The 24,908-nt window shown below is 41.1% G+C and overlaps 1 protein-coding gene across 2 annotated transcripts; it reads left to right on the top strand.

Annotated features, from left to right (window-relative positions):
* On the top strand, positions 6,549 to 22,775 carry CBLIF (cobalamin binding intrinsic factor). 2 transcript variants are annotated; one of them, XM_011544939.4, is made up of 9 exons: positions 6,549 to 6,673; positions 7,993 to 8,169; positions 8,907 to 9,020; positions 9,465 to 9,605; positions 10,724 to 10,905; positions 14,697 to 14,832; positions 16,039 to 16,240; positions 20,252 to 20,370; positions 22,503 to 22,775. In XM_011544939.4, exons 1-9 carry the CDS (start codon positions 6,595 to 6,597, stop codon positions 22,562 to 22,564), a joined length of 1,212 nt encoding a protein of 403 aa, XP_011543241.1. In that variant the 5' UTR covers positions 6,549 to 6,594; the 3' UTR covers positions 22,565 to 22,775. The 2 variants fall into 2 exon arrangements, with proteins under 2 accessions (XP_011543241.1, NP_005133.2); NM_005142.3 differs by having other exon boundaries at positions 14,697 to 14,874.

The following is a 24,908-nucleotide window of genomic DNA, read 5'->3' as shown; positions in this document are numbered from 1 at the left end:
TAATTTCCTGCAAATAAAAACCACAATGAGACACCATGCCACACCAGTCACAATGGCTACTATTAAAAAGTCAGAAAATAACAGATGCTAGTGAGGTTATGGAGAAAAAGAAACACATACACTGTTGGTAGGAGTGTAAATTAGTTCAACCACTGGGGAAAGCAGTGTGGAGATTGCTCAAAGAGCTAAAAACAGAACTACCATTCAACCCAGCAATCTCATTACTGGGTATATACCCAAAGGACTATAAATCATTCTACATCTAAATCTAATATAAACCGCGTGTATGTGTATTGCAGCACTATTCACAATAGCAAAAATATGGAATCAACCTAAATGTCCATCAATGATAGACTTTTAAAGAAAACACAGTACATATACACTATGGAATACTATGCAGCCATAAAAAATGAGATCATATCCTTTGCAGGAACATGGATGGAGCCAGAGGCCATTATCCTTAGCAAACTAACACAGGAAACTGCATATTCTCACTTATAAGTGGGAACTAAATGATGAGAACACATGGACACATAGAGGGGAACAACACACACTGGGGCCTATGAGAGGGTGGAGGGTGGCGAGGAGGGCGAAGATCAGGAAAAATAACGAATGGATACTAGGCTTAATGCCTGGGTGATGAAATAATCTGTAAAACAAACCCCCATGTCATGGGTTTACCTACACAACAAACCTGCACATGTATACCTGAACTTAAAGTTTAAAATAAAGTAATTTTTAAAAGAAAAATGCCTTCAGGTAGAATTAGTTGAATTATTATTTATTTTATTATTTTTTTTAGACAGAGTTTCGCTCTTGTTGCCCAGGCTGGAGTGCAATGGTGTGATCTCGGCTCATCGCAACCTCCGCCTCCTGGGTTCAAGTGATTCTCCTGCCTTGGCCTCCTGAGTAGCTGGGATTACAGGCATGCACCACCATGCCCAGCTAATTTTGTATTTTTAGTAGAGGTGGGGTTTCTCCATGTTGGCCAGGCTGGTCTCGAACTCTTAACCTCAGGTGATCCACCCACCTTGGCCTCCTAAAGCACTGGGATTACAGGCGTGAGCCACCACGCCCAGCCAGGTGAATTATTTTAACAATGTCTTCCTCATTTCTCCTGTGTTTTCTTCACAATCATCCTAGCTTCCTCTCCTTCACCAGTGACACTGCTTCACAGTCAGAGATTGAACCCTCTTCCAACATACTGCTTTCTGCTATTGATACTCGATGCTCAGGTTCAACTCTGCCCTGGTCTTCATTAACTGGATGTAACACATGACCCTCATGAGTGGACAGAAATGGATTCTATCCCTTGGGTCTGTGTCTCATCTTTAAAGCTAAGTTAGAAAATATATACACCTACTGTGTACCCACAAAAATTAAAAATATAATAACAATAATAATAATAATAATAATAAAGCTAAATTAGAGAAGCTGGGAGCCATGTTACCCTTCCAGGATCCCTGGTGCTGTTAATCGTCAGATCTGTTTGTAGCCTATACAAGCTATGTGAAATTGAAGGATACTGGTTTAAGGTGAGAAATATGCAAAATGTCAGAATTGCATACTAGCAATTAGCACTACTAGCATTTATTTCTAACAGACAGAGCCTAGTTTCTCCCAGCCAGAGGTCTTAAAGTATAATGTAGGCCGGACGCAGTGGCTCACGCCTGTAATCCCAGCACATTGGGAGGCTGAGGCAGGTGGATCACTAGGTCAGGAGATCGAGACTATCCTGGCCAACATGGTGAAACCCCGTCTCTACTAAAAATGCAAAAATTAGCAAGGTGTGGTGGCATGCGCCTGTAGTGCCAACTACTCGGGAGGCTAAGGCAGGAGAATCGCTTGAATCTGGGAGGCGGAGGCTGCAGTGAGCCGAGAATGCGCCACTGCACTCCAGCCTGGGAAACAGAGCTAGACTCTGTCTCAAAAAAAAAAAAAGTATAATGTAGTAAGTAACATTGCTGTCTGATATAAATGCCTTTAATCTCAGAAGTAGACATGAAATAACACTCCCTTAGGGTTCCACTAACATCGGCCCTTGAAACCTAGTTCTGAGGACAGGCGTGGTGGCTCATGCCTGTAATCCCAGTACTTTGGGAGGCCAAGGCAGGCAGATAACTGAGGTTAAGAGTTTGAGACCAGCCTGGCCAACATGGCGAAACCCCACCTCTACTAAAAATACAAAAATTAGCTGGGCATATTGGCAGGCAATTGTAATCCCAGCTACTCAGGAGGCTGAGGCAGGAGAATCACTTGAACCCGGGAGGCAGAGGTTGCAGTGAGCTGAGATCACACCATTGTACCCCAGCCTGGGCAACACAGCCAGACTCCATCTCAGAAAAACATAAAAATAAAAATAAAAATAAGAAACCTAATTGGCCACACTTGCCTTACAAGAAGCTCCTACAGCTTGAGACTATTACAGAACCTGAACTGAGTCTGAAGAGAGAAACTTCCTTTTGCTGCCACAGCAAAGAATAATCACCACAAATAAACCTCACTTATGTCCAGAGAGAGTCTAGGTGCTTTGATACCAAAATATTAGGCACAGGAGAAACAAGGAAATAAATGAACACATCATCCCAGTCAATAGTTAACCAAGGACTGTCAAAATATCCCTGTTAAGAAATGTATGGCCTGTGTGGTTCCTGTTCTGGGAATTATTTACTAACTGCAACAATTGTGTCACGATCAATCTTGCAGCAGCCCTGGTTGTAAATGGTAATTTATAATACAAGGAAGTGAGTGGTTAAAGAGCTGGCAGGCCAAGGGTGTGTGGATCATCTCAGGACGATCAGGAGCAGGCTCTGGAATGCAAAGTCAGCACCATACTGTACTCATAATCCTGTATTAGATTCTTATTGTTGCTGTAACAGATTACCACTAATTTTGTTATTTAAGACAAATTTATCATCTCACAGTTCTGGAAGTCAGAGTCTCACTGGGCTAAAATCAAGGTGTCGAAGGAGCTGTGTTCCTTCTAGAGGTGGCAGCAGTAAACCAAGTTCTTTCCCTACTTTGTATGGGTCACAAAGAAGGAACATGCAATTGGACAAAAGCAATTGGGTCGTATTCACTGGCCAGGGAATGGAGAAGGGGAGCTCTCGCTCTAAAGGCGCATTCTCCTTAAGCAATGGGAAGCAGGGAAATTTTCAAGAGTTAGACATGGGGCAGGGAGGTATGTAAGCAGGCCGAGGGTGGAGTTCCAAACACGCAGGCGCAGTCCCCAGACATACTTCTTCATACCTCGCATGTACACAAAATGGCAGCGATTTTCTTTTAAGGGAGAGGAATCTAGTATTATAATGATATGTTAATGATCTAAAAGTAACTAGGGGTTGCCGGTTCTGGTTTGCACCGGTCTGGTGCAGGTCTTATCTTCCTCTGGTATTTGGCAAGGGATCATGAAGCTCCTGAAGCATCCTGGGCCATCTGGAGCTCTTTAAGCAGTGGCATCTATAGATAAAAAGGCTAAGGGGACATCCCATTACTGGGTATATACCCAAAGGACTATAAATCATGCTGCTATAAAGACACATGCACACATATGTTTATTGTGGCACTATTCACAATAGCAAAGACTTGGAACCAACCCAAGTGTCCAACAATGATAGACTGGATTAAGAAAATGTGGCACATATACACCATGGAATACTATGCAGCCATAAAAAATGATGAGTTCATGTCCTTTGTAGGCACATGGATGAAATTGGAAATCATCATTCTCAGTAAACTATTGCAAGGACAAAAAACCAAACACCGCATGTTCTCACTCATAGATGGGAATTGAACAATGAGAACACATGGACACAGGAAGGGGAACATCACACTCTGGGGACTGTTGTGGGGTGGGGGGATGGGGGAGGGATAGCATTAGGAGATATACCTAATGCTAAATGATGAGTTAACGGGTGCAGCACGCCAGCATGGCACATGTATACACATGTAACTAACCTGCACATTGTGCACATGTACCCTAAAACTTAAAGTATAATTAAAAAAAAAAGAAAAAAAAGGAACAGGGACAATCTTAAAAAAAAAAAAAAGGCTAAGGGAAAACAACAGTTTAAGAAAATAAGAAGCCCTCCCAGCTATTTCCGTAGGGCTCCCCTAGTAACAGAGCTTGTGAAGAAGAATCCATTTCCTTGCCTTTTCCAGCTTCTGGAGGCTGCCCACGTTGCATGGCTCATGGCCCCTGTCCACCTACAAAGCCAGCAATTGCATCATTCTGACTTCTGCCTCTAACATCACATTTGCTTTTCTGATTCTAACGCTCTTGCCTTCCTCTGCCACTAACAAGGACCTCTGTGATGACATTGAGCCCACCCAGATGATCCAAGCTAACCTTCCTCTCTTAAAGTCAGCTCATTAGCCACCTTAATTCCATGTGCATCTTTAATTCTTCCTGGCCATATAACCCACGTAACATGTTCACAAGTTCCAGGGATTAGGGCATGGGCATTTGGCGGTGTGTGGGCAGTGCCATTATTCTGCCTCCTACTCCTTCACACAGCATGCAAGGCTGTCCACCAAGTAGATGCCAACTGTCTTTCCAGCCTCATCTTCCACCATGTACCATGTATTGGATATATATTGCTGCATAACAAGTGACTTTAAAACTTAGGGGCCTAAGACAACATTTATTATCCCACAGTTTCTGTGGGTCAGGAGTCCAGGGAGGGTTTACATGGGTCCTCTGGCTTAGGAGGGTCTCTCCCAGGGCTGCAATCAAGATGTCAGCTGGGGCTGCCTTCATCTCAAAGCTCACTGGGGAAGGGTTCTTTTCTCCCTGAATATCGGCTGGAGGCTACTCTCAGGGGCCATATGTGGGCTTCTCCATAAGGCAGCTCACACTTAGCAGCTGCCTTCATGAGAGCAGGAAGGGCAAGAGAGAGAAGGCAAGCAAGAGGGAAATCGGTCTTTTGCAACCACATCCCATCACCTTTGCTGCATTATATTCATTATAATAGAATGTGGCCCCAGGCCAGCCCACACTCTAGGGAAGAGGACTACACAAGGCATGAATACCGGGAGGTGAAAACACAGGGCCATGTTAGAAGTTGTCCAGCACACCCCAGTATGTACCCTGTGCTCTCATCTCACAAAACTCACCCATGTTTCCCAAGGGGGAAAAAATGCTTTATTACCCATGTCTTACATTTGCTCATTAATTCACTCATTCAAAAAGTATTTTATTTCTACTGTGAGCTAGGTAGTGTTGTAAGGGCTAAGGATAGAGCAGTGAGCCAAAGAGACAAAGCCCCTCCCTCGTGGAGCAGACATTCTAGTAGGGAGATAAACAAACGATAAACAACCACACACTTAGTGCGACAGAGGGCAATGAGTTATAGCAGGCGAGGGGCATGAGGGGTGTCAGTGGAGGTGAGGATGTAGGATCTTATGTAGGGTGGCCTGGGAAGGCGTCTCTAAAAGCTTACCTCTGAGCAGAGACATGAAGGATGTGAGGAAGCCACCATGAGGCTATTTAAAAGAAGAGGGTCCTGGGCTGAGGGGGACATCATGTGCAAAGGTAGCTGATGTGTTCAAGGGGCACAAGAAGTTCTGTGTGATGGGAGCGGTGTGAGCAAAGGGGAAAACGCCTGGAGCTGAGGTCAGAAAGGAAACCAGGAGCCAGATCTTCTAAGGTCTTATAGGTCATGAAAAGGGCTTTGACTTTTATGCTAAGATGGGCGCCACTGGAGAATATCCCCTTAAAATGAGCTACTTTACATGCAGGAAAAAAACAAACAAAACTCCTTTCTTTATAATTTCAACATACCATTTTCAGTTCTCCCTTATAAAGAAGTATAATTTGCATTATAATGTAGCTACACATCTGAAATATGTATTCTTAATGGATCTCACATTTTCTAATTACTTACTTTAAAAGATAATATCTGAAAGCTTTGGGTGTTTGAGATGGCTTTTATCTCCAGATAAGGAAAGAGAAATCAAACAAAACCATTTCTGGGAAACCGAGGTCCATTTCTTGCCTAAAGTCAAACAACTTCAAAGAGTCTAGGCTAGAATCCAGGTCCAGGTAGACATCATTAATTTCACAAAGCCAGATGTCACCTGGCAGATCCCTGCCTGAGAGCCTAAAAGGACATGTTGTAAAGCAGGTGTCTAGGATCATAAAATGAGCTGATGCCTATGAATGGCCTAAATCCCAGTGAAGTAGTTACTAAAAAGCAGCCTGGTAACTGATTGGATACAATAAGGGCTAGAAGAGGTCTTGTTGATACTAGCACATTATCCAAACTTCCTGATGTCTGACCCAGGCCTTTGGTAAAGGACATTTTCTCAACATTGCCTTCACTGCATACCCAGCCCCAGGTTTCTCATATGACTGTGCAACCTAGAAGTCACCTTCAGACACCTTGGAGGGTCTATAGTCGGTAAACTTAGATAAGCAAATGAAAATTTACTTACTTGTATCAGGAAAGGAGAGGTCAGCACAGGGGCAGTTAGGAGAGGCTGGGTTGGGGACAGATTATTTAACAAAGGGAAGCACATATAAGAGAAGGTAAAGAAATATTCCACTTGCAAATCGCGGTACCTGTGGATGAGAGACATAGACGAGAGAGTGAGATGGCCTGGTTTGCCCTCTACCTCCTGAGCCTTCTCTGGGCTACAGCTGGGACTAGTACCCAGACCCAGAGTTCATGCTGTGAGTATGATGTTTTTCCAAGGAGGTCAGGGAAGCAGTTGCCCTGGGGAAGGGGCTGTGACCTCTGACACTGAGTGGTTGAAAATAGCAATCACTATAGGAATTCCAAAATGGGTAAGTCTGAGTGTGATTGTGTGCTGTTCATCCTTCCTGACTTAATAGCATAAGTTCTTTGAGAGACAAGTCTATATGTTTTTTATTAAGAGAGATGGGGCCAGGTGCAGTGGCTCACACCTGTAATCCCAGCACTTTGGGAGACTGAAGCAGGAGGATTGCTTGAGCCCAAGAGTTCAAGACCAGCCTGGGCAACATGGTGAGACTCCATCTCTACAAAAAAAATAAATAAATAAAAATAAAAAATTAGCTGGGCGCAGTGGCATGCACCTGTGGTCCCAGCTACTCAGAAAGCTGAGGTAGGAGAATCGCTTGAGCCCAGGAGGTCGAGGCTGCAGTGAGCTATAATCACACCACTGCACTCCAGCCTAGATGACACAGCAGCACCCTGTCTCAAAAAATCAATAAATAAAAATAATAGAGATGGAAGTACTACTGCAGGAATAATGGTTGATGGTACAAAGACAGACACTCAGTGGCTATTGTGACCAGACACCACTACATACTAGTGAGAGATTTTGGTACTCACTGAGGATAAATTATATCCCAAATCTTTAATACTCTTCATGAAAGAGTAAGGAAAAAAATGAATGCAAGGAAATCAGTGATTTCCAGGAAAGTGATAGAAACTATGAGAAATGTCATGAGCCATATTGCTTGAAGTTACTAAATTTAAAAATCACTTTCTTAAGGATATGGATTATTTGAGAAGATGTAGAAACTAATTGTCCTCAAAAGTAAAATCTCACCATTTTCTCCATTTCTCTTTAGTGACTTAGGACACTAATGCTAATCAAGTGTTCTCCTAAAAGGCATCAAAGATGGCCAGGCGAGGTGGCTCACGCCTGTAATCCCAGCACTTTGGGAGGCCAAGAAGGGTGGATTACCTGAGGTCAGAAATTCGAGACTACCCTGGCCAACATGGTGAAACCCCATCTCTACTAAAAATACAAAAATTAGCCTGGCGTGGTGGTGCACACCTGTAATCCCAGCTACTCAGGAAGCTGAGGCAGGAGAATCACTTGAACCTGGGAGGCAGAGTTTGCAGTGAGCCGAGATCGTGCCATTGCACTCTAGCCTGGGCAACAAGAGTAACACTGTCTCAAAAAAAAAAGAAAGAAAGAAAAAGCATCAAAGACACGGGGATAATGTTTTTGAGAAGGAATGAGGGTTAGAAGGTGAGTAAATGGCTTTCCTCTTCTCAGCCGTTCCCTCAGCACAGGAGCCCTTGGTCAATGGAATACAAGTACTCATGGAGAACTCGGTGACTTCATCAGCCTACCCAAACCCCAGCATCCTGATTGCCATGAATCTGGCCGGAGCCTACAACTTGAAGGCCCAGAAGCTCCTGACTTACCAGCTCATGTCCAGCGACAACAACGGTGAGACATCTGAGCCGCTCGCACTCTCCCTGAATCTCACACATCACATACCACCTCCAGATTCCAACTCAGCGTCCTTCCCACCCCAATGCTGCCTCTGACTGTAAATAAACTACCCAAACACCTTTCCTTACATACCTGGAAGGTACCTGGAAAGAAACATGTGTGAAGTCAGAGCATTCATGGAGGAGGTCAGTAAAGCAGGGAGAGCTCTGGACTAGACGTCGAAAGAGCAGCCTTCTGGTTCTGGCTCTGCCACGTCATAACTCTGGGATCTGAGACAAGTCACTGGATACTGCTCAGCCTCACCTTGCAGATGATTGTAGTAACAATAACCCTACTACTACTAATAGCAATGATAATAATAATAAAATCTCTGTTCTGCCTATCTCCCAGGAGCTGCCTGCAGGCTCAAGTTAGATAAAGTTTAAATTATTTTGCAACTGTAAATTTCTGTATATAAATCTATATGAGTATTTTGCTGCTTTTCTAATCAAATACCAGGGATTCTCAAATACCAAATACTAGAGTCATCAAGTTACACAGAGGCCACTAGATTAAATATTCCCTTACGTATTCTTCCATATTTTTTTCTTTGGAAAGACAGATCAAAGAACTGCTCATATTATTAAAAAGTCAAAATGCTCTAGATAAAAAGCAGAGAACTCATCACTGGCTCCTGGAGAGCTGTCCCCTGAGGATGTCTCTGTCTAACCGTTGTGTTCTCTTCTCTGCAGATCTAACCATTGGGCAGCTCGGCCTCACCATCATGGCCCTCACCTCCTCCTGCCGAGACCCTGGGGATAAAGTATCCATTCTACAAAGACAAATGGAGAACTGGGCACCTTCCAGTAAGACCTGACTGGAAGGGAGAAAAGAGTCAGGCATATGGTTTTACCTAAGAATTTTAAACCCAGAAAGGAAAAGGGTGGGGGTGGAGAGAAAGGCAAGTTAGGGAAGAGACAATGTATCCTTCACTCTGGTCCTTCTGATAATCCAGACCAGAAAGATTCATTTCCAATCCAAAATGAACTAGAAAAGGTCATGATCCCAAGGACACAAGCTTGTCCAGCCATCACCTGTCTAAAGACACAGAGTCATCCCTTTTATTCTTTGCAGATGCCTGATGACATTCTTTTGAAAAACACTGAAGTTGCTCTTTGCCTATGCTGTGTCTCTCTTTGGGGGCAGGTTTTCTAGCAATTTCCTTTTCAAAGGCTTGGCTTTTCCTTCTTTGCAAATGTCCTCATCGTGGTGACTGTGAGTCTGATGAAGGTTCTCTATCCCCTTCGGAGGCCCCAACGCTGAAGCATCAGCCTTCTATGGGCCCAGTCTAGCGATCTTGGCACTGTGCCAGAAGAACTCTGAGGCGACCTTGCCGATAGCCGTCCGCTTTGCCAAGACCCTGCTGGCCAACTCCTCTCCCTTCAATGTAGGTGAGTAGGTCACCACTACCCCGAGCTGGGAACATCAGAGGCATCGTGAACTGAATGGTGGAGCTGGCAGGGAAGTGACAAAGGAGAGCGTCCCATGGAGGAGGAGCTAAGGATGTGAACGTGCCTGTGGATGGGAGATATTTACCAGATGTTTGTTGGGCAGGTGAATTGAGGAGTAAGTGAAGGAAGAGGGGGTAGTATTATGTAGAAACAAGGACAATTGATAATACTTGATATGTCTGGCAGCTACAGAATCTCCGCTGGGAACAATAGTAATGCCATTCAAGTCAGAAGTTCTTCCCAAATTAAATATGAATGTCTTGCTTCAGTTCTCCTCTGCATCCTCTCTTTAATCACTACTGATGCTCCCACACTCCATTCTTTTCGATGCTTCTCCTCATTACATCCAAATATCCTCTCTCCATTAAACAGCTACTCTCGGAACCCTAACTCGTGATATTTCCCTTCATGGCAACTCGGGGACCACCTTGCGTCTTTGTTCTGCAAGCATATGGCTGCTTGTGAATAGAAGCTTTTCCCTCTACAACATCATGTCCTCCTTCTGTCCCCTTCTATGGATAATGATCCTTCTCTGTGGGGGCCACTGTCACAGCCCGCATTCATGATCACCTTTTCTCCTCTGCCAACTCTCTAAGCAATAGTATTATCTCAGGTTTTCACTCCCTTATGCATGCCCCATCAGCAACCTCTCTTGTTTCAGTTTCTGTCAGACAAACAGGTGAACCACTGCTCTAGGATCCTCCCTGGGGGTTAAGAACAGACTGGTCTCCCTTTCACATCTGGGACCTCACACATTTCTGGGGCATCTCTGCCTCCAAAAATTTGGACTTATTTACTTCTGGTTGTCAGTAACACTAGCACCCTTAACGAAGTTATGCAACTTTCAAATGGAGATTTGGCCCTGCTGCTTACTTAATTTTTCTGAGCCTCCATTTTTTGTCTCTTAAATGGAGATGATTACAGGTACTGTTTCACAGGTTGTTCTGAGGAGCAAATAAAATCATGGAGCCAGAATATAATAAGCACACAATAAATGTTAGCTGTTCATATTGCTGTGATGGTGACTATGGTGATCTTATACCCTCTGTCATTCACAGACACAGGAGCAATGGCAACCTTGGCTCTGACCTGTATGTACAACAAGATCCCTGTAGGTTCAGAGGAAGGTTACAGATCCCTGTTTGGTCAGGTACTAAAGGATATTGTGGAGAAAATCAGCATGAAGATCAAAGATAATGGCATCATTGGAGACATCTACAGTACTGGCCTCGCCATGCAGGTAAACACGTGCTGGATGCTCTTGGTTGGGTTCCTGCCAATAAGCCTGGATTGCAGAATCAAGAGGCCAGGCTTCTACTAACATCTCTGTGAAAGTCCAGCTAGTATGACCTGAGATATATTCTTTGTGGTGCCTGGGCCTCAGTTTCTCTACTGGTAAAATGCAGGTAAGTGTTAATTCCTCCCTACCTCCTATGTAAAGTGTGAAAACAAATCTATATGAACTTGTTTCTCTTTCTTGGGAAAAAAAATGAAACAAATAAATCAAGAAATATATTAATTTATTATTAATAATGATCAGTTTATTTGTAATAGTTACAGACTATTACAATTTTGATGTATAAATAATAAGAATATTAAAGCAGGCCCTCTAAAAATATACAATTTTCTGATGCAATCTTACCAGCCAAGTGTTCTTTTTCAGTGTTTTACCTTGATCTAAAAATAGCAAGTTTATACTCAAAATGATTAAGGAAAATAACCTAAAGTTGACCCAGCCTCACAAAAACCCATAGTAAATGGTAAAGCAGATCTATCTGTCAGCCAAGTCCATATTCAATTCTGTGCTTTCACAGCATGCATTCCCAGGCTTGGATTCTGTAAGATGTGTTTGGTATTCATAGTTCCAAATCCAACAACCCACCCTACCCTAGTTGATTAGGGCAGCAGCCTCCATAGAAGACAGATGCACCAATGGTGGTGGGCAGAAATAACCAACTAGAATCAGAAACTAGCAACCATCTGTGGCTGAATCCTCTAATCCCAACTAAGAAGTTTGAGCTCCAGTGTCTCAAAATGTCCTATGGGGATTAATAGGACCAGGGACTCTTCAACTCAGAAAGCCCACTAAAGGGAGAATCATGGAATGGTGATGCCAGCCCTAAACCTAACATAGTTGCGGACTATTAGAAAGAAATTGTCTCCTGGGGAAAACAATGGAGACTAGTATTGAGATTTCATACATTAAAAATTAGAAAAGGATATAAGCAGCCTAAGAATTGGTTCATGTTAAACATAAGAGCAAAAAAAAAAAAATTTCCACTTCAATGGACCACATATAGAAGTGACTAATAAAAATAGAGTTCATTTCTATGTCACAGTCAAGGAGACTTTGTCATAGAACAAAACCCTGTTTTTTCCATGGCTGAATTTTACAAGAACATTCCCAGTGCTCTGGTCTAGAAGCTTTTTGGAAAGAAAAAGGCAGTCTGGAAGAGATATAAAAGATGGTTTGGGGATTTTTTTTTTTTATGTGTGACTCTCTAAAAATAACCTTGCTTCAATTTATCACCAGACAGTGAAGTGTTTACTTTTGCTAACTTGGTTTGTGAATTCTGTTTGGATTTTATCACCTGCCAAGTACACTTTGATAAGCTGTACCTGGGAATTAGAGCTTTTCCTATCAAAAGGCAGGACCCTGTCTACATCCAAATACCACAGGCCATGTGGATTTCTTGTCAGAATACATAATCTCTCCCTACCCTTTTTACTGCCTCTATCTGGAACTTATTTAGGCATCCTGAAATCTGGAATCAATAGGTGTCTAATATATAATATTTTCCTAATCTAAAATATTCTGATATAGAAAATCAAAGGGCTCTGGAACTATCACAATTTAGGTTTGACTCCCACACCTGCCACCATCTCAGACAAATATTGAATTTCCCCAGATTTTATTTTCCCCATAATAATAAGGTTGCAATTAGGTTAAATAAAATGTGGTATGCAAAAAAATGCATGCATAATGTAATGCTTAACAATTGTTCAAGATCTGTCTCAGCAGAGCAGTGATGCTAGTAAAGTTCCTTTTCAGCCTTTGTTCACCTTCTTCCAAGATGTCAGTACACTTCCAGTGGCCCAGGCCACACTCTTCCCTACCCAAAGACGCTCATGAGGCATTTCCTCTGTTCCAGAACTTCTCATCTTTCTTCCATGAATATCCTATTGCTTTCAAGTTTCCTCTGATAGGCGCTTATCTTGAAAAGGGATCTGATAGGCCAGGCGTGATGGCTCACACCTGTAATCCCAGCACTTTGGGAGGACGAGGCGGGCAGATCACTTGGGGTCAGGAGTTCAAGACCAGCCTGGCCAATATGGTGAAACCCCATCTCTACTAAAAATACAAAAATTAGCCTGGTGTGCTGGCAGGCACCTATAATCCCAGCTGCTCAGGAGGCTGAGGCAGGAGAATCACTTGAACCCGGGAGACGGAGGTTGCAGTGAGCCAAGATTGCACCAATGCACTCCAGCCTGGGCATCACAGCGAGACTCCATCTCAAAAAAAAAAAAAAAAAAGAAAGAAAGAAAAGAAAAAGAGAACTGATAAACTTCTTGATGGAAAGTTATTAATGACGTCTAACCACTTAATGTGTTATCCTCTCTAGAGTGTTGGCATTGGTGATGTGTAATCCCAATGAATATACCTTGCTTAGTGAAATTTGGGAGGTGCATATGACAAGTGGACAAGATATTGTTGCTGAGGAGCACCCACCTGATGGCCCTTAAAGCAACTGCCTTGTAAAGTGGCCTCTGTCCAGAGCCATGCTTCATAGATGCTGAGGTTCAGTGATGGTTGTCCCTGTCACAACTGCCCAGTTGTGCATACTGACCCTAGCTGAGACAGCCGTTTCTGACTCCTCTCTCTCTCTTCTCCCATTTCCTATTCCAAGCTTCAGGTGAACCAGTCATTAACAATCTCAGCCTATTAACATGCTCTGGTGGCCATAATCGCACTGTAAAGGAAGGGAGGTGGTAATGACAGCTTCCACATCACACATCACACATCACGAAATGCTTTTATACATTAGCCCCTTGGAACCGCAAATGACTCCCCCAACAATAGACAGAAGTTATTATTTCTATTTTATTCATGCGATAGATAACGCAGCAAAATAGGTGAATGGCTGAATGGCTTGGTGTATTACTCAAGACTCATTTTGCAAGTAACAGAAACCCAAATCCTTTTAGCTCAAGAAAAAAATGAGGATTTACTATTCACATACACTGGGAAGTCTAGGGCTGAATTAGGTGGTTTCAGGAATAACCAGAATAAAGGGCTCAAATCATGATATCAGGAGCCACTCTTTTTTCATCGTCCAGCCCTGATTTTCCTCATTCTTTCCTGCTGCAGGGCTTCTTCAAAGTGGCTGAGAAAGATGGTCACTAGCAGCTTACCGTTTATTTGCATGGTCCCAGTTGAATAACCTTAGCAGGAAAAAAAAATCTTTGGGTGTCCCAATGTCTGTATGTCGGGGAATGATTCTGATTAGTACATGTGTCCACCAATCACTGTCATCAAGGGGATGGTGACCACCATCAGCCCAGTCCAGGTCATGAGTCCATCCTGGGCCAGGGTTGTGGAGCCTCTGAGAGTCCTGACACAAGCACAAAGTGAGGGAAAAGTCCATCAAAGAGGGCACATGGCAATATGAAACAAGGGGTCTACTCCGTTTATGTGGCTAGACTGTCCTAGGCTAAAGCTCCCTCTGGAGCCCAGCTCTCACCCTCACTCTACATTCAAGAGTCGTTCGTAAATATGACTGCCTAATAGTGTTCCCTGGATCTGATCATTGCACAGTTCTGTGTCTGCTGTCTGACAGACACTGTGCTAAGTGGTGGGGACATAGCATTGAAGACAAATGTTTTCCAAACCTTACATAGCATTGGCTTTGCATTCTGGGTGACTACGTGATCACCATGATTAGTGATCAAGTTTATCTCTTAAGACATGTAAGAGCCAACTCTCAGCTATGCCTAATTACTCTTTCTCTCTCTTTCTGTCTTCCTTCCCAGGCTCTCTCTGTAACACCTGAGCCATCTAAAAAGGAATGGAACTGCAAGAAGACTACGGATATGATACTCAATGAGATTAAGCAGGGGAAATTCCACAACCCCATGTCCATTGCTCAAATCCTCCCTTCCCTGAAAGGCAAGACATACCTAGATGTGCCCCAGGTCACTTGTAGTCCTGGTAAGACATCCACCTCTCCTTATGTCATAAAGCAGCAACTTATGCCAGAAATGACATGTGGATCAATGTTAAGTGGCATATAGGCTTGTAATGTCCATTATTCCCATGTGGGCAGAGTACATCTGACTCCCAGTCCTTAAGAGTGTGTGCTAGCACACAGACATACCTTCCTGCACTCAGAACTCAGCCCCATATCTACTTCATTCAGCATATATTTACCTAGCTCCTACTATGTGCAAAGCATTTTGTGGGATACTAGAGGTAGAAGAAGCTCCATGGTCCCAGCTATCAAACAACATATAGCTTCATTTATTCATTTCACAAATGTACCATCAAACACTATGCATATCTTATCATATCTGCCTTTCACAAAGTCAGAAGACAGATGTGTAAACAAAAACTACAATATTTGGGACAATCGAGTAAGTATTAAATAGAAGTTAAAGCCACACACAGTGCAAATGCCAAAAAGAAAAATAGTGACCAGTTGTTGATTTTGTTTGGGAGGCTTCAGAGAAGAACAGAATTCATATTTAAATCGAGCCTTAACGATCTAAATATGAAAGCTCGATGCACGCAATATATCAATGAGATGGAGTGGAAACCTAGCATGCCACTTTTTAATTAAAAATATCTTTATTTTATCCAATTATGCATATAATTGAAAGACACTAAAAATTCAAACATTACAGAAATATGCATTTGGAAAGTGGAGGTCTTGCATAAAAACTTATTACTCCAGAGATTACTAGTGTTTGGTATGGATTCCTCAAACTCTTTTTTTTTAATAAAATGCTAACACAAAGCATCATTCCTCTTGCATTGCATGAACTTCCTAAGACAAGAAGCAATTAATAAGTTTCTCGTCTATCTCAATGCAGAATGTGGAGACCAAAATCAAGCAAACTGATCCCAATCCTACCAAAAACTACCACATTCACTCAACCCCTTAGGCTGCTTCCCAGTGATGTCCCAACCTTAACAAGGTGGCCATGGAGTTTTTGCCGGAATTCTATGCTAGTTGTCCAAGTACTTTGTTAAATGGTATGAAACTCACTACTTTCTCAAAATGTCTTCTGGGGTAAGTTGCCAATAACAGAGATTTTGCACCTATGATACAAACCCCATAATCTTTGACAAATGTGGCCTCTTTGCCCTTCACAGATCATGAGGTACAACCAACTCTACCCAGCAACCCTGGCCCTGGCCCCACCTCTGCATCTAACATCACTGTCATATACACCATAAATAACCAGCTGAGGGGGGTTGAGCTGCTCTTCAACGAGACCATCAATGTTAGTGTGAAAAGTGGGTCAGTGTTACTTGTTGTCCTAGAGGAAGCACAGCGCAAAAATCCTATGTTCAAGTGAGTATTACAAATGTCATTCATCATTCTCTCAAGGCCTGATCTGAATTCCCATTTTTTATCCATCCTGTTTTCCTAATTTTTTTCCTTTTGATAACAGATTTTTATTTAATAGCGCTTGAGCAGCTTTCAATCTAATAAATAGGTAAGGCTCTCATGAAAACTTAAATCATATAAGTCAACATATGATGAAGTTTTAAAAACAAAAATTCAGAGGAGATTCGAAAGTCCATTGCAGAGTAGAACAGGCAAAAGAGACTTTGTAGCTTTGAAACACAAAGAATAGGTACTATTTAGGAAGATGTGGGAAGAGGTAAGTCCAGAAAAAGAAATGGCCAGAACAGGCCGGGCGTAGTGGCTCATGCCTGTAATCCCAACACTTTGGGAGGCCCACGCCTGTAATCCCAGCACTTTGGGAGGCTGAGGCATGCGGATCATCTTAGCTCAGGAGTTTCACCAACATGGTGAAACCCCGTCTCTACTAAAAACACAAAATTAGCCAGGCGTGGTGGCACGTGCCTGTAATCCCATCTACTCGGGAGGCTGAGGCAGGAGAATCGCTTGAACCTGGGAGACGGAGGTTGCGGTGAGCCGAGATCATGCCATTGCACCCCAGCCTGGGCAACAAGAGCAAAACTTCATCTCAAAAAAAAAAAAAAAGGAAAAGAAATGGCCAGAACAAAGCATTTGCGATAAGACTGAGCAAGGAATTTGGGGCCAATGAATAGGCCAGGTGGACATACCAGGTTGGGTGACAGTGTAAAAGTCTTGAAATACCAGGTTCAGGAGACTGAACTTCATTTTGCAAGTTTTTGAGTAAGAAAATCCACTTGGTAAAATGTTGCTTAGGTCGTGAGAATAGGAGACAAGGCTAAAACATAGGACATGACTCCAATAATGGAGGTGTGAAGTGACGATGACTTCCTCTGGGATACACGGACCCACACCAAGGCTCTGTGAGTGATGGGACATAGAGGTCAAGAGAAAGAAGCTTCAAAACTATTGATTAAAGGGTCAAGAAGAAAGAATATCTTTCAAAGAAAAGGATTAAATTCCTTAGATATGTTTAATGGTAGGCATTTGAAATAGGAACATTAGAAGGCTTTTGGCGGTATAGTCCAGGCACAGTGGCTCATGCCTGTAATTACAGCACTTTGGAAGCTGAGGCGGGTGGATCAGTTGAGGGTAGGAGTTCGAGACTAGCCTGGCCAACATGGCGAAACCTCATCTCTACTAAAAGTACAAAAATTAGCCAGGCGTGGTGGTGCGTGCCTGTGGTCCCAGCTACCCAGGAGGTTGAGACGGGAAGATTGCTTGAGCCTGGGAGGTGGAGGTTGCAGTGAGCCAAGATCGTGCCCACTGCTCTCCAGCCTGGGAGACAGAGTGAGACTCTGTCTCAAAAAAAAAAAAAACAAAAAAAAGGAAGGAAAGAAGGAATTGAGAGAGAGAAAGAAAGAGAAAGAAAGAAAAAGGAAGGAAGGAAGGAAGGAAGGAAGAAAGAAAGAAAGAAAGAAAGAAAGAAAGAAAGAAAGAAAGAAAGAAAGAAAGAAAGAAAGAAAGAAAGAAAAAGAAAGAAAGAAAGAAACAGAAAGGCAGGCTTTTGGAGGCATAGAGGAAGTACTAGGAAAAGAGGTCAGGACATGCAAAAAATAAATTGGACAGTCATCTCTTAGAGGTGATGACCTAAGTCAAGAACCCATGCAGTAGATAGCAGATACTTGCACCCAATAAAACCATAAGACATATTTAGTTATTCTCATTTTACAGATAGAACCCTTAGGCCCAAAGAAGTTAGTAACATTCCTAAGATCACATAACATGTAACTAATAGAGTTGAGAGTGGAACCCAGGTTGGACTGAATCTGATGCTCATGTTCTTTCCATGCCCCTCTCAAGGTAGGGGAAAATACAGAAATAAATCACAGAGGAGAAAATTAACTTTTAGGGCATGTTTATAGTTTGCAAAAAGAGGAAGCAGTAAAGAAACATGGAGAAGTCTAAGCTATAGGAGGAGAGGAGGAAAAATGCCAAGTCATGGAAAGGAAAAAAGCATCTTTTCTTTTTCAAAGAAAAGATGATCCAAATTCTTCAGGAAGATATCAAGAAGGAATACTGACAAAGGCTAAGGAATTGACAACTGAGTGATACCACGTGGGTATCTATTCCACCCGGTTCTGTTGAGCACATTGTGTCTGCTGCTTACTGCACGACTCCATAACTTCCCTAACTTCCATAGACAGGTCAGGATAAAAATTGCACTTCAAAACTATTTAATTTTTTTTTTTTTTTTGAGACAGAGTTTTGCTCTTGTCACCCAGGCTGGAATGCAATGGCGCGATCTCGGCTCACTGCAACCCCCACCTCCCGGGTTCAAGTGATTCTCCTACCTCAGCCTCCTGAGTAGCTGGGATTATAGGCACCCGCCACGATGCCCTGCTAATTTTTGTATTTTCAGTAGAGATGGGGTTTCAGCATGTTGGCCAGGCTGGTCTTGAACTCCAGACCTCAGGTGATCCACCCACCTCAGCCTCCCAAAGTGCTGGGATTACTGGCGTGAGCCACTGCGTCTGGCCCAAAAATATTTAATTTTAAAACCCTCTGAATATACCGTACTTTACTTCTCTGAAGTTAGCTTTAATTTTGCCTAATTTTTCTTTTTCTGATTATAAATGTATTAAATACATAGAGCAGAAATTTTGAGGGAAAAAGCAAAAAGAAGAAAAATCATCTATAGTCCACACACAATATCACAATTGTTAATATTTTTTATAACTTTTGTAGGTTTTTTTCTATGCATATTACAAATAGGTGTGATCCATCATATACATGGGACAGATATTTCATGTAAAATTTGTACCTCATATTTTCACTTAACGTTATTGCATAAGTAGTTTCCTGTGTTACTGAAAATTATTGACAAATATTTTCATGGCTTCCAAATATTTAATCTTGGATATTCATTCCATCACTCATATAATCATTTACCCATTTGGGGGAATTTACATTTTTTAAATTTGATTATTAATAGGTGTTTTCAAAATCCATTCATTTTCATTTCATTTCATTCTAAGTGAAGTAATTTCATATTCATTAGTCATTTGTATGTTTGCTTTTTTAAAATTTATTTATTTATTTATTTATTTTGAGATCAGGTTATGAGACTGGCTAATTTTTGTATTTTTGTTAGAGACGGGGTTTCACTATATTGCCAAGGCTGGTCTCGAACTCCTGGGCTCAAGCAATCTGCCCTCTTCAGCCTCCCAAAGTGCTGGGATTGCAGGCATGAGCCGCCACACCTGGCCCATTTTCTCTTTTTTTTAAACTTAACTTTTATTTTAAGTTTGGGGTACATTTGCATGTTTGTTACATAGGTAAACTGTGTCATGGGGGTTTGTTGTACAGATTATTTCATCACCCAGGTATTAATTCTACTACCCATTAGTTATTTCTCCTGATCCTGTCCCTCCTCCCAACCTGTACCCTCTGATAGGCCCCTGTGTGTGTTGTTCCCCTCTGTGTATTCATGTGTTCTCATCATTTTGCTCCCACTTATAAGTAAGAACATGCAGTATTTGGTTTTCTGTTCCTGTGTTAGTTTGCTAAGGATAATGGCCTCCATCCATGTCCATTGCAGCACGATTCACAATAGCAAAGACATGGAATCAACCTAAATGCCCATCAATAGTAAACTGGTTAAAGCATTTTCTCATTTGATTTTATCTGATCATTTTATCAGATAAAATCATGCTCAAAAGAGAATATCATTTAAAATATCTGAAGCATTTATCTGAAGCATTTAAAGTGTCTCTATCCTGGCGGGTGGATGCTTGAGCCCAGGATTTTGAGGCTGCCATAAGCTAGGATCTCACCACTAGCCTGGGTAACAAAGTCACACCTTGTCTCTAAAAAATTAATTAACTAATTAATTAATTGACTGTCTCTATCCCTTCATCTTACCGCTTATTCCCTGACCTAAAGTGAGATGTTAATCATATATAAACTTTTTTTTAGATTTGAAACCACAATGACATCTTGGGGCCTTGTCGTCTCTTCTATCAACAATATCGCGGAAAATGTTAATCACAAGACATACTGGCAGTTTCTTAGTGGTGTAACACCTTTGAATGAAGGTGAGGGAAGAAAAGACATAGGCGTTATCTTCCATAGTCTGAAGGCTACATTCTTTAATTATTTTTTCATTTAATTTATTCATTCATTCACTTAATTAATAATTATGAGATCATGTGTATATACAATAATTCTATAAACAGTGATTGCTTATATATGTATACACACATATATTTTGTGTATATATATATATATATATAATCATTACATAGAGAAAGAGATTAATTCTGTAGGCAGCGATAATACTTTTCACAGAGAAGGAAAGTAAGTCTTAAGAGACATTAAAGGGTCTTGTACAAGGCATGCATCTAGAATGTAAAAGTGGATAATCAAACCCAGGTTTCCAAACTCTAGGACAAATGTGCTTTGTACAAAAGTTTCACTCAAAATTTATGCTTCACCTTCTCTCTTAAAAAAATCTCCAGAGAGAGGAATGCCTGCATATGGATGTTGGTGCATGTTTCCCCTGAAAAAATTAGGAGAAAGTGGGAAGAATAAAACTCAGACTTCAGCAAAACCTTAACATTTGTTAAAGCTTTTGCACACATATTAAAATATTCCCCAATTTAAAGAGCATTGCTGTATGGTTTTGGTCTAAGCATGACGTTACCTAGTTAACCTGATGTTAACTGTCACCATGCAGAGACATGTAAAGGCAAATAAAGTCACAGTACAGCCAAGGCTATAGGTTGGTAAAGATGCTTCATTATCCAATATTACAGTGGAGGAGATGTTTTTCTTAGAATCAATCATGTATTTAGCAAAATCTTGCCAGTCAGAATTTGTGGAGTTGTAGCAAAGCATATAATAAAGATCTTGGAATCACAGAGGACTTGGCTAGAAGCTCTTTCTCTTATTTAATAGCTGCATTATATTAGTAGTAAATCTGTGAGCCAGTTTCCACAGCTTTAAAATGGAAATTGCATTAATCATTTATTGGGTTATTGTAAGGATTGGAAATAATATACTTAGAATGATTAAGTACAATGTTTTTTGCATGGCATGTATTCAAAAATATTAATCATCATTATTATTATTAGTTTTCCCATCACCTTCATCCCAAGAAATGTCTCTATCAAAATATCCCATATACCCCATAAACATACACACCTACTATGTACCCACAAAAATTAAAAATTTTTTAAACACCCAGAATTTTTTTAAAAAGAAAGTAATTCACTTTGGGAGGCCAAGGCGGACGGATCAGGAGGTCAGGAGATCAAGACCATCCTGGCTAACATGGTGAAACCCCGTCTCTACTAAAAATACAAAAAAATTAGTCAGGCGTGGTGGCGGGTGCCTGTAGTCCCAGCTACTCGGGAGGCTGAGGCAGGTGAATGGCATGAACCCAGGAGGCGAAGCTTGCAGTGAGCTGAGATTGCACCACTGCACTCCAGCTTGGGTGACAGAGCGAGACTCCGTTTCAAAAAAAAAAAAAAAAAAAAAGAAAGTAATTGCCCCAGGAACTTAAATCAGGCATATTCTCATGTCTACAAATTACTTTTCTTCCCTGGGAGAAAGAATGGTAAAGGCCTCTGAGAAACAAAAATATTTGGGCCTGAAACTGTCATTCTTTCTGTTGCCAGCTACCTGAAAGGTAACAGATATTGCCATCATCTATCTTTCCTGTTCTGAAAGACAAAAATTCTCAACCCACTGCTCTTTCTTATGTCTTACAAAATCTTCAAAAATGAACAGGAAGTTCTCCCTTGAATGCCCTAATTTTGGCCTAAATAAGCCATTTTAACAATAACCACCACTTATTGCACAATTATTCTGTGTCAGGTACTGTATTAGGTACCCAGCGGTCATTATTCCTAATTTTGAAAATAACTCTTCAGAGTAAATATTATTAACAAAATCTTGTATGTGAGGAAAAAGAGACTCGCGCATCTTAAAGGGTATACCCAAAGACTTACTCCATGAAGTGGTGACCAGAGACTGGAAACAAGAACTCCCTAAATCTCAGTTTCATTTTCTCTTCATAATCAAACTGCTTATTTCTCTCTAGGATGATTTTACTCCTTTAAAAACATTTAATGGGTTCACTGCATCTAGCTCACTGCATCCCTTGGGGGATGGAGGTGGTTACATGCACCACAGTCACCTCATGTTATTCTCTGCTTATTTCCAGGGGTTGCTGACTACATACCCTTCAACCACGAGCACATCACAGCCAATTTCACACAGTACTAACGAAGAGGTGGGTTCAGCTTCTATCAAACATCTCCAAAGGATGGGTGAAATTTTTTCCACTTCATTTTAAATCTATGCAAAAAAGCGAATGCCTGTGATGCTACCATATTCCTGGTAAAAACATGGAGAACCACTATGTAGAATAAAAATGCAAAGTTCACTGGAGTCTCAACATCTATGACTCATGAAAATAAAATTTTCATCTTCTCAACACAATGACTGCCAATCATCATTTAAACCTAAGCTGAGGGGAAAAGGGAGAGTAGCTGATATTTTTGGATATCATTCTGATTTCTTGATTAATTAAATAGCACATTCCCTATTTCTACAAATGATATATTTTTTAAATTTCATATTTTCTTATCATACCAAGCACTCCTTTTCAAATTGCCTAACGTAAATATGCCCACGTATGTACATACATGTATACATGAAATGACCAAACATTTCAACATATAAAACTCCCAGATGGTTCAAAACTTGGTAATTGATGTTATGTCTTAACTCTCTCCTTCCATTTCCAATTTTTTTGTTAAATTCATATTTAAAATATATATTTAGATCATTTAATATGTACTTAGTAAACTAACTTATATTCAATATATTATACAGAATTTAATATATCATATATTTTACATGATTATATATAACTTAATATATGTTATATGATTATATATAATTTAACATATTATATATTTTATATGATAAATAGATATAGATCTTTGAAAAAAAATTAAGCTTTCAAAGATAAACATAACTGTAATCTCTACTGGTAGGAGTGAACACTGGTACAAACTTTCTAGAGAATAATATAAAAATTTGTATCAGAAGACCTAAAATGACCGGGTGTGGTGGCTCACGCCTGTAATCCCAAAAGTTTGGGAGGCCAAGGAAGGTGGATCACCTGAGGTCAGGAGTTCAAGACCAGCCTGACCAACATAGTGAAACCCGTCTCTACTAAAAATACAAATATTAGCCTGGTGTGGTGGCACGTGCCTGTAATTCCAGTTACTTGGGAGGCTGAGGGAGGAGAACCACTTGAAGCCAGGAGGCAGAGGTTACTATAAGCTGAGATCACACCATTGCACTCCAGCCTGGGCAACAAGAACAAAACTCCATCTCAATTAAAAAAAAAAAAAAAACAGGCCTAAAATATACACACCTTTGGCCAAAAAAAAAAAAATCCCAATTCTGAAATTTTTATATATATATATGAGAACACATAAATATACAAGAATCAAAAGGTCAGCTGTAACTATTATAGACAAGAGCTTAGGTGTACAGCCACAGAACACTTCCTAAAACTGAACCCCAGAATCAGACAGACTGAACTGCCCAGGCACAGATGCTCCCATCTGAGCATCTCAGAGCAAGTACCTGCTCTCTGGTAACAGTCTGGCTCCTAGGAGAAGGAGGTGTGGGCCACACAGGCCCAGGTCCTCAATTCAAACTTATCTATTAGGTAACTCTCTCTATCCCAGAAAAAGGCCAAGACTGTCACTATAATAGAAGGAAATCTCAGGGGTGGTGAGCAAAGTGCTCTCACATAACATAATGTTTATAATATGGGAAAAAATAGAACAATCTAGATGTCCAACAGTACGACAATGGACAAACTCTGGTGCATCCATATGATGGGATACTTAAAAGTTACTAAAATTCATGTTGAAGATAAATTCTTACAGACATGAAAAGACGTTCATGATGAACATGAATGAAGTGAGTGAATGAAGTGAATGAAGGCAACTCCAAGTGAATGAAGGCAAGTACATGACGACATTATAATATTGTCCATGCTGGAGTGTTTCAGTGGTAATCTCTGTGTGCAGAATTATTGGTGATAGGGTTTTTTTGTTTGCCTCTCTGTTTTCTAAGTTTTAGCCATACAACACATAATAATTGAGCAACTGGAAAATGGAAAAAACATTATTTTATACAAAGATTATTTCTGCTTGTTTAACAATAAATTGGGCAACCAAAGAGATTTCTCTGTGTGTGTGTGTGTGTGTGTGTGTGTGTGTGTCTGTGTGTGTGTATGGGAGAGTTCTGTCCCCAACCTTTGCTCTAGTAATAGAAACTGAGGAAACAAGCCTAGGGAGGAAACAAAGAAAACAAACAGAGGGAAATCACAGATTTGTTTCATATAATGAAAACCTTGTTTTAGCTACCTATCTAGGACTTAATTGCGTGTGTGTTCATCTATATTGGCAGAGCTAGAGACAAGGAAACGGCTTCAAAAGTTGTAATTCTGTTTTGAAGAAGTGCTTTATTTATTTATTTATTTATTTTTGAGATAGAGTCTTGCTCTGTTGCCCAGGCTAGAGTACAAGGCGTGATCTCGGCC

This window comes from Homo sapiens, chromosome 11 (genome assembly GCF_000001405.40).
Source record: "Homo sapiens chromosome 11, GRCh38.p14 Primary Assembly".
Classification (NCBI taxonomy): Eukaryota; Metazoa; Chordata; class Mammalia; order Primates; family Hominidae; genus Homo; species Homo sapiens.
This window is presented reverse-complemented; position numbering and strand designations above follow the sequence as displayed.

Bases quoted from the DNA above. Each gene is read 5' to 3' on its own strand.
- CBLIF (NM_005142.3), top strand. From the start codon at position 6,595: ATGGCCTGGTTTGCCCTCTACCTCCTGAGCCTTCTCTGGGCTACAGCT. The intron at 6,674-7,992 runs GTGAGTATGATG...TCCTCTTCTCAG, and splicing joins CCAGACCCAGAGTTCATGCT to CCGTTCCCTCAGCACAGGAG. The intron at 9,021-9,464 runs GTAAGACCTGAC...TCCCCTTCGGAG, and splicing joins GGAGAACTGGGCACCTTCCA to GCCCCAACGCTGAAGCATCA.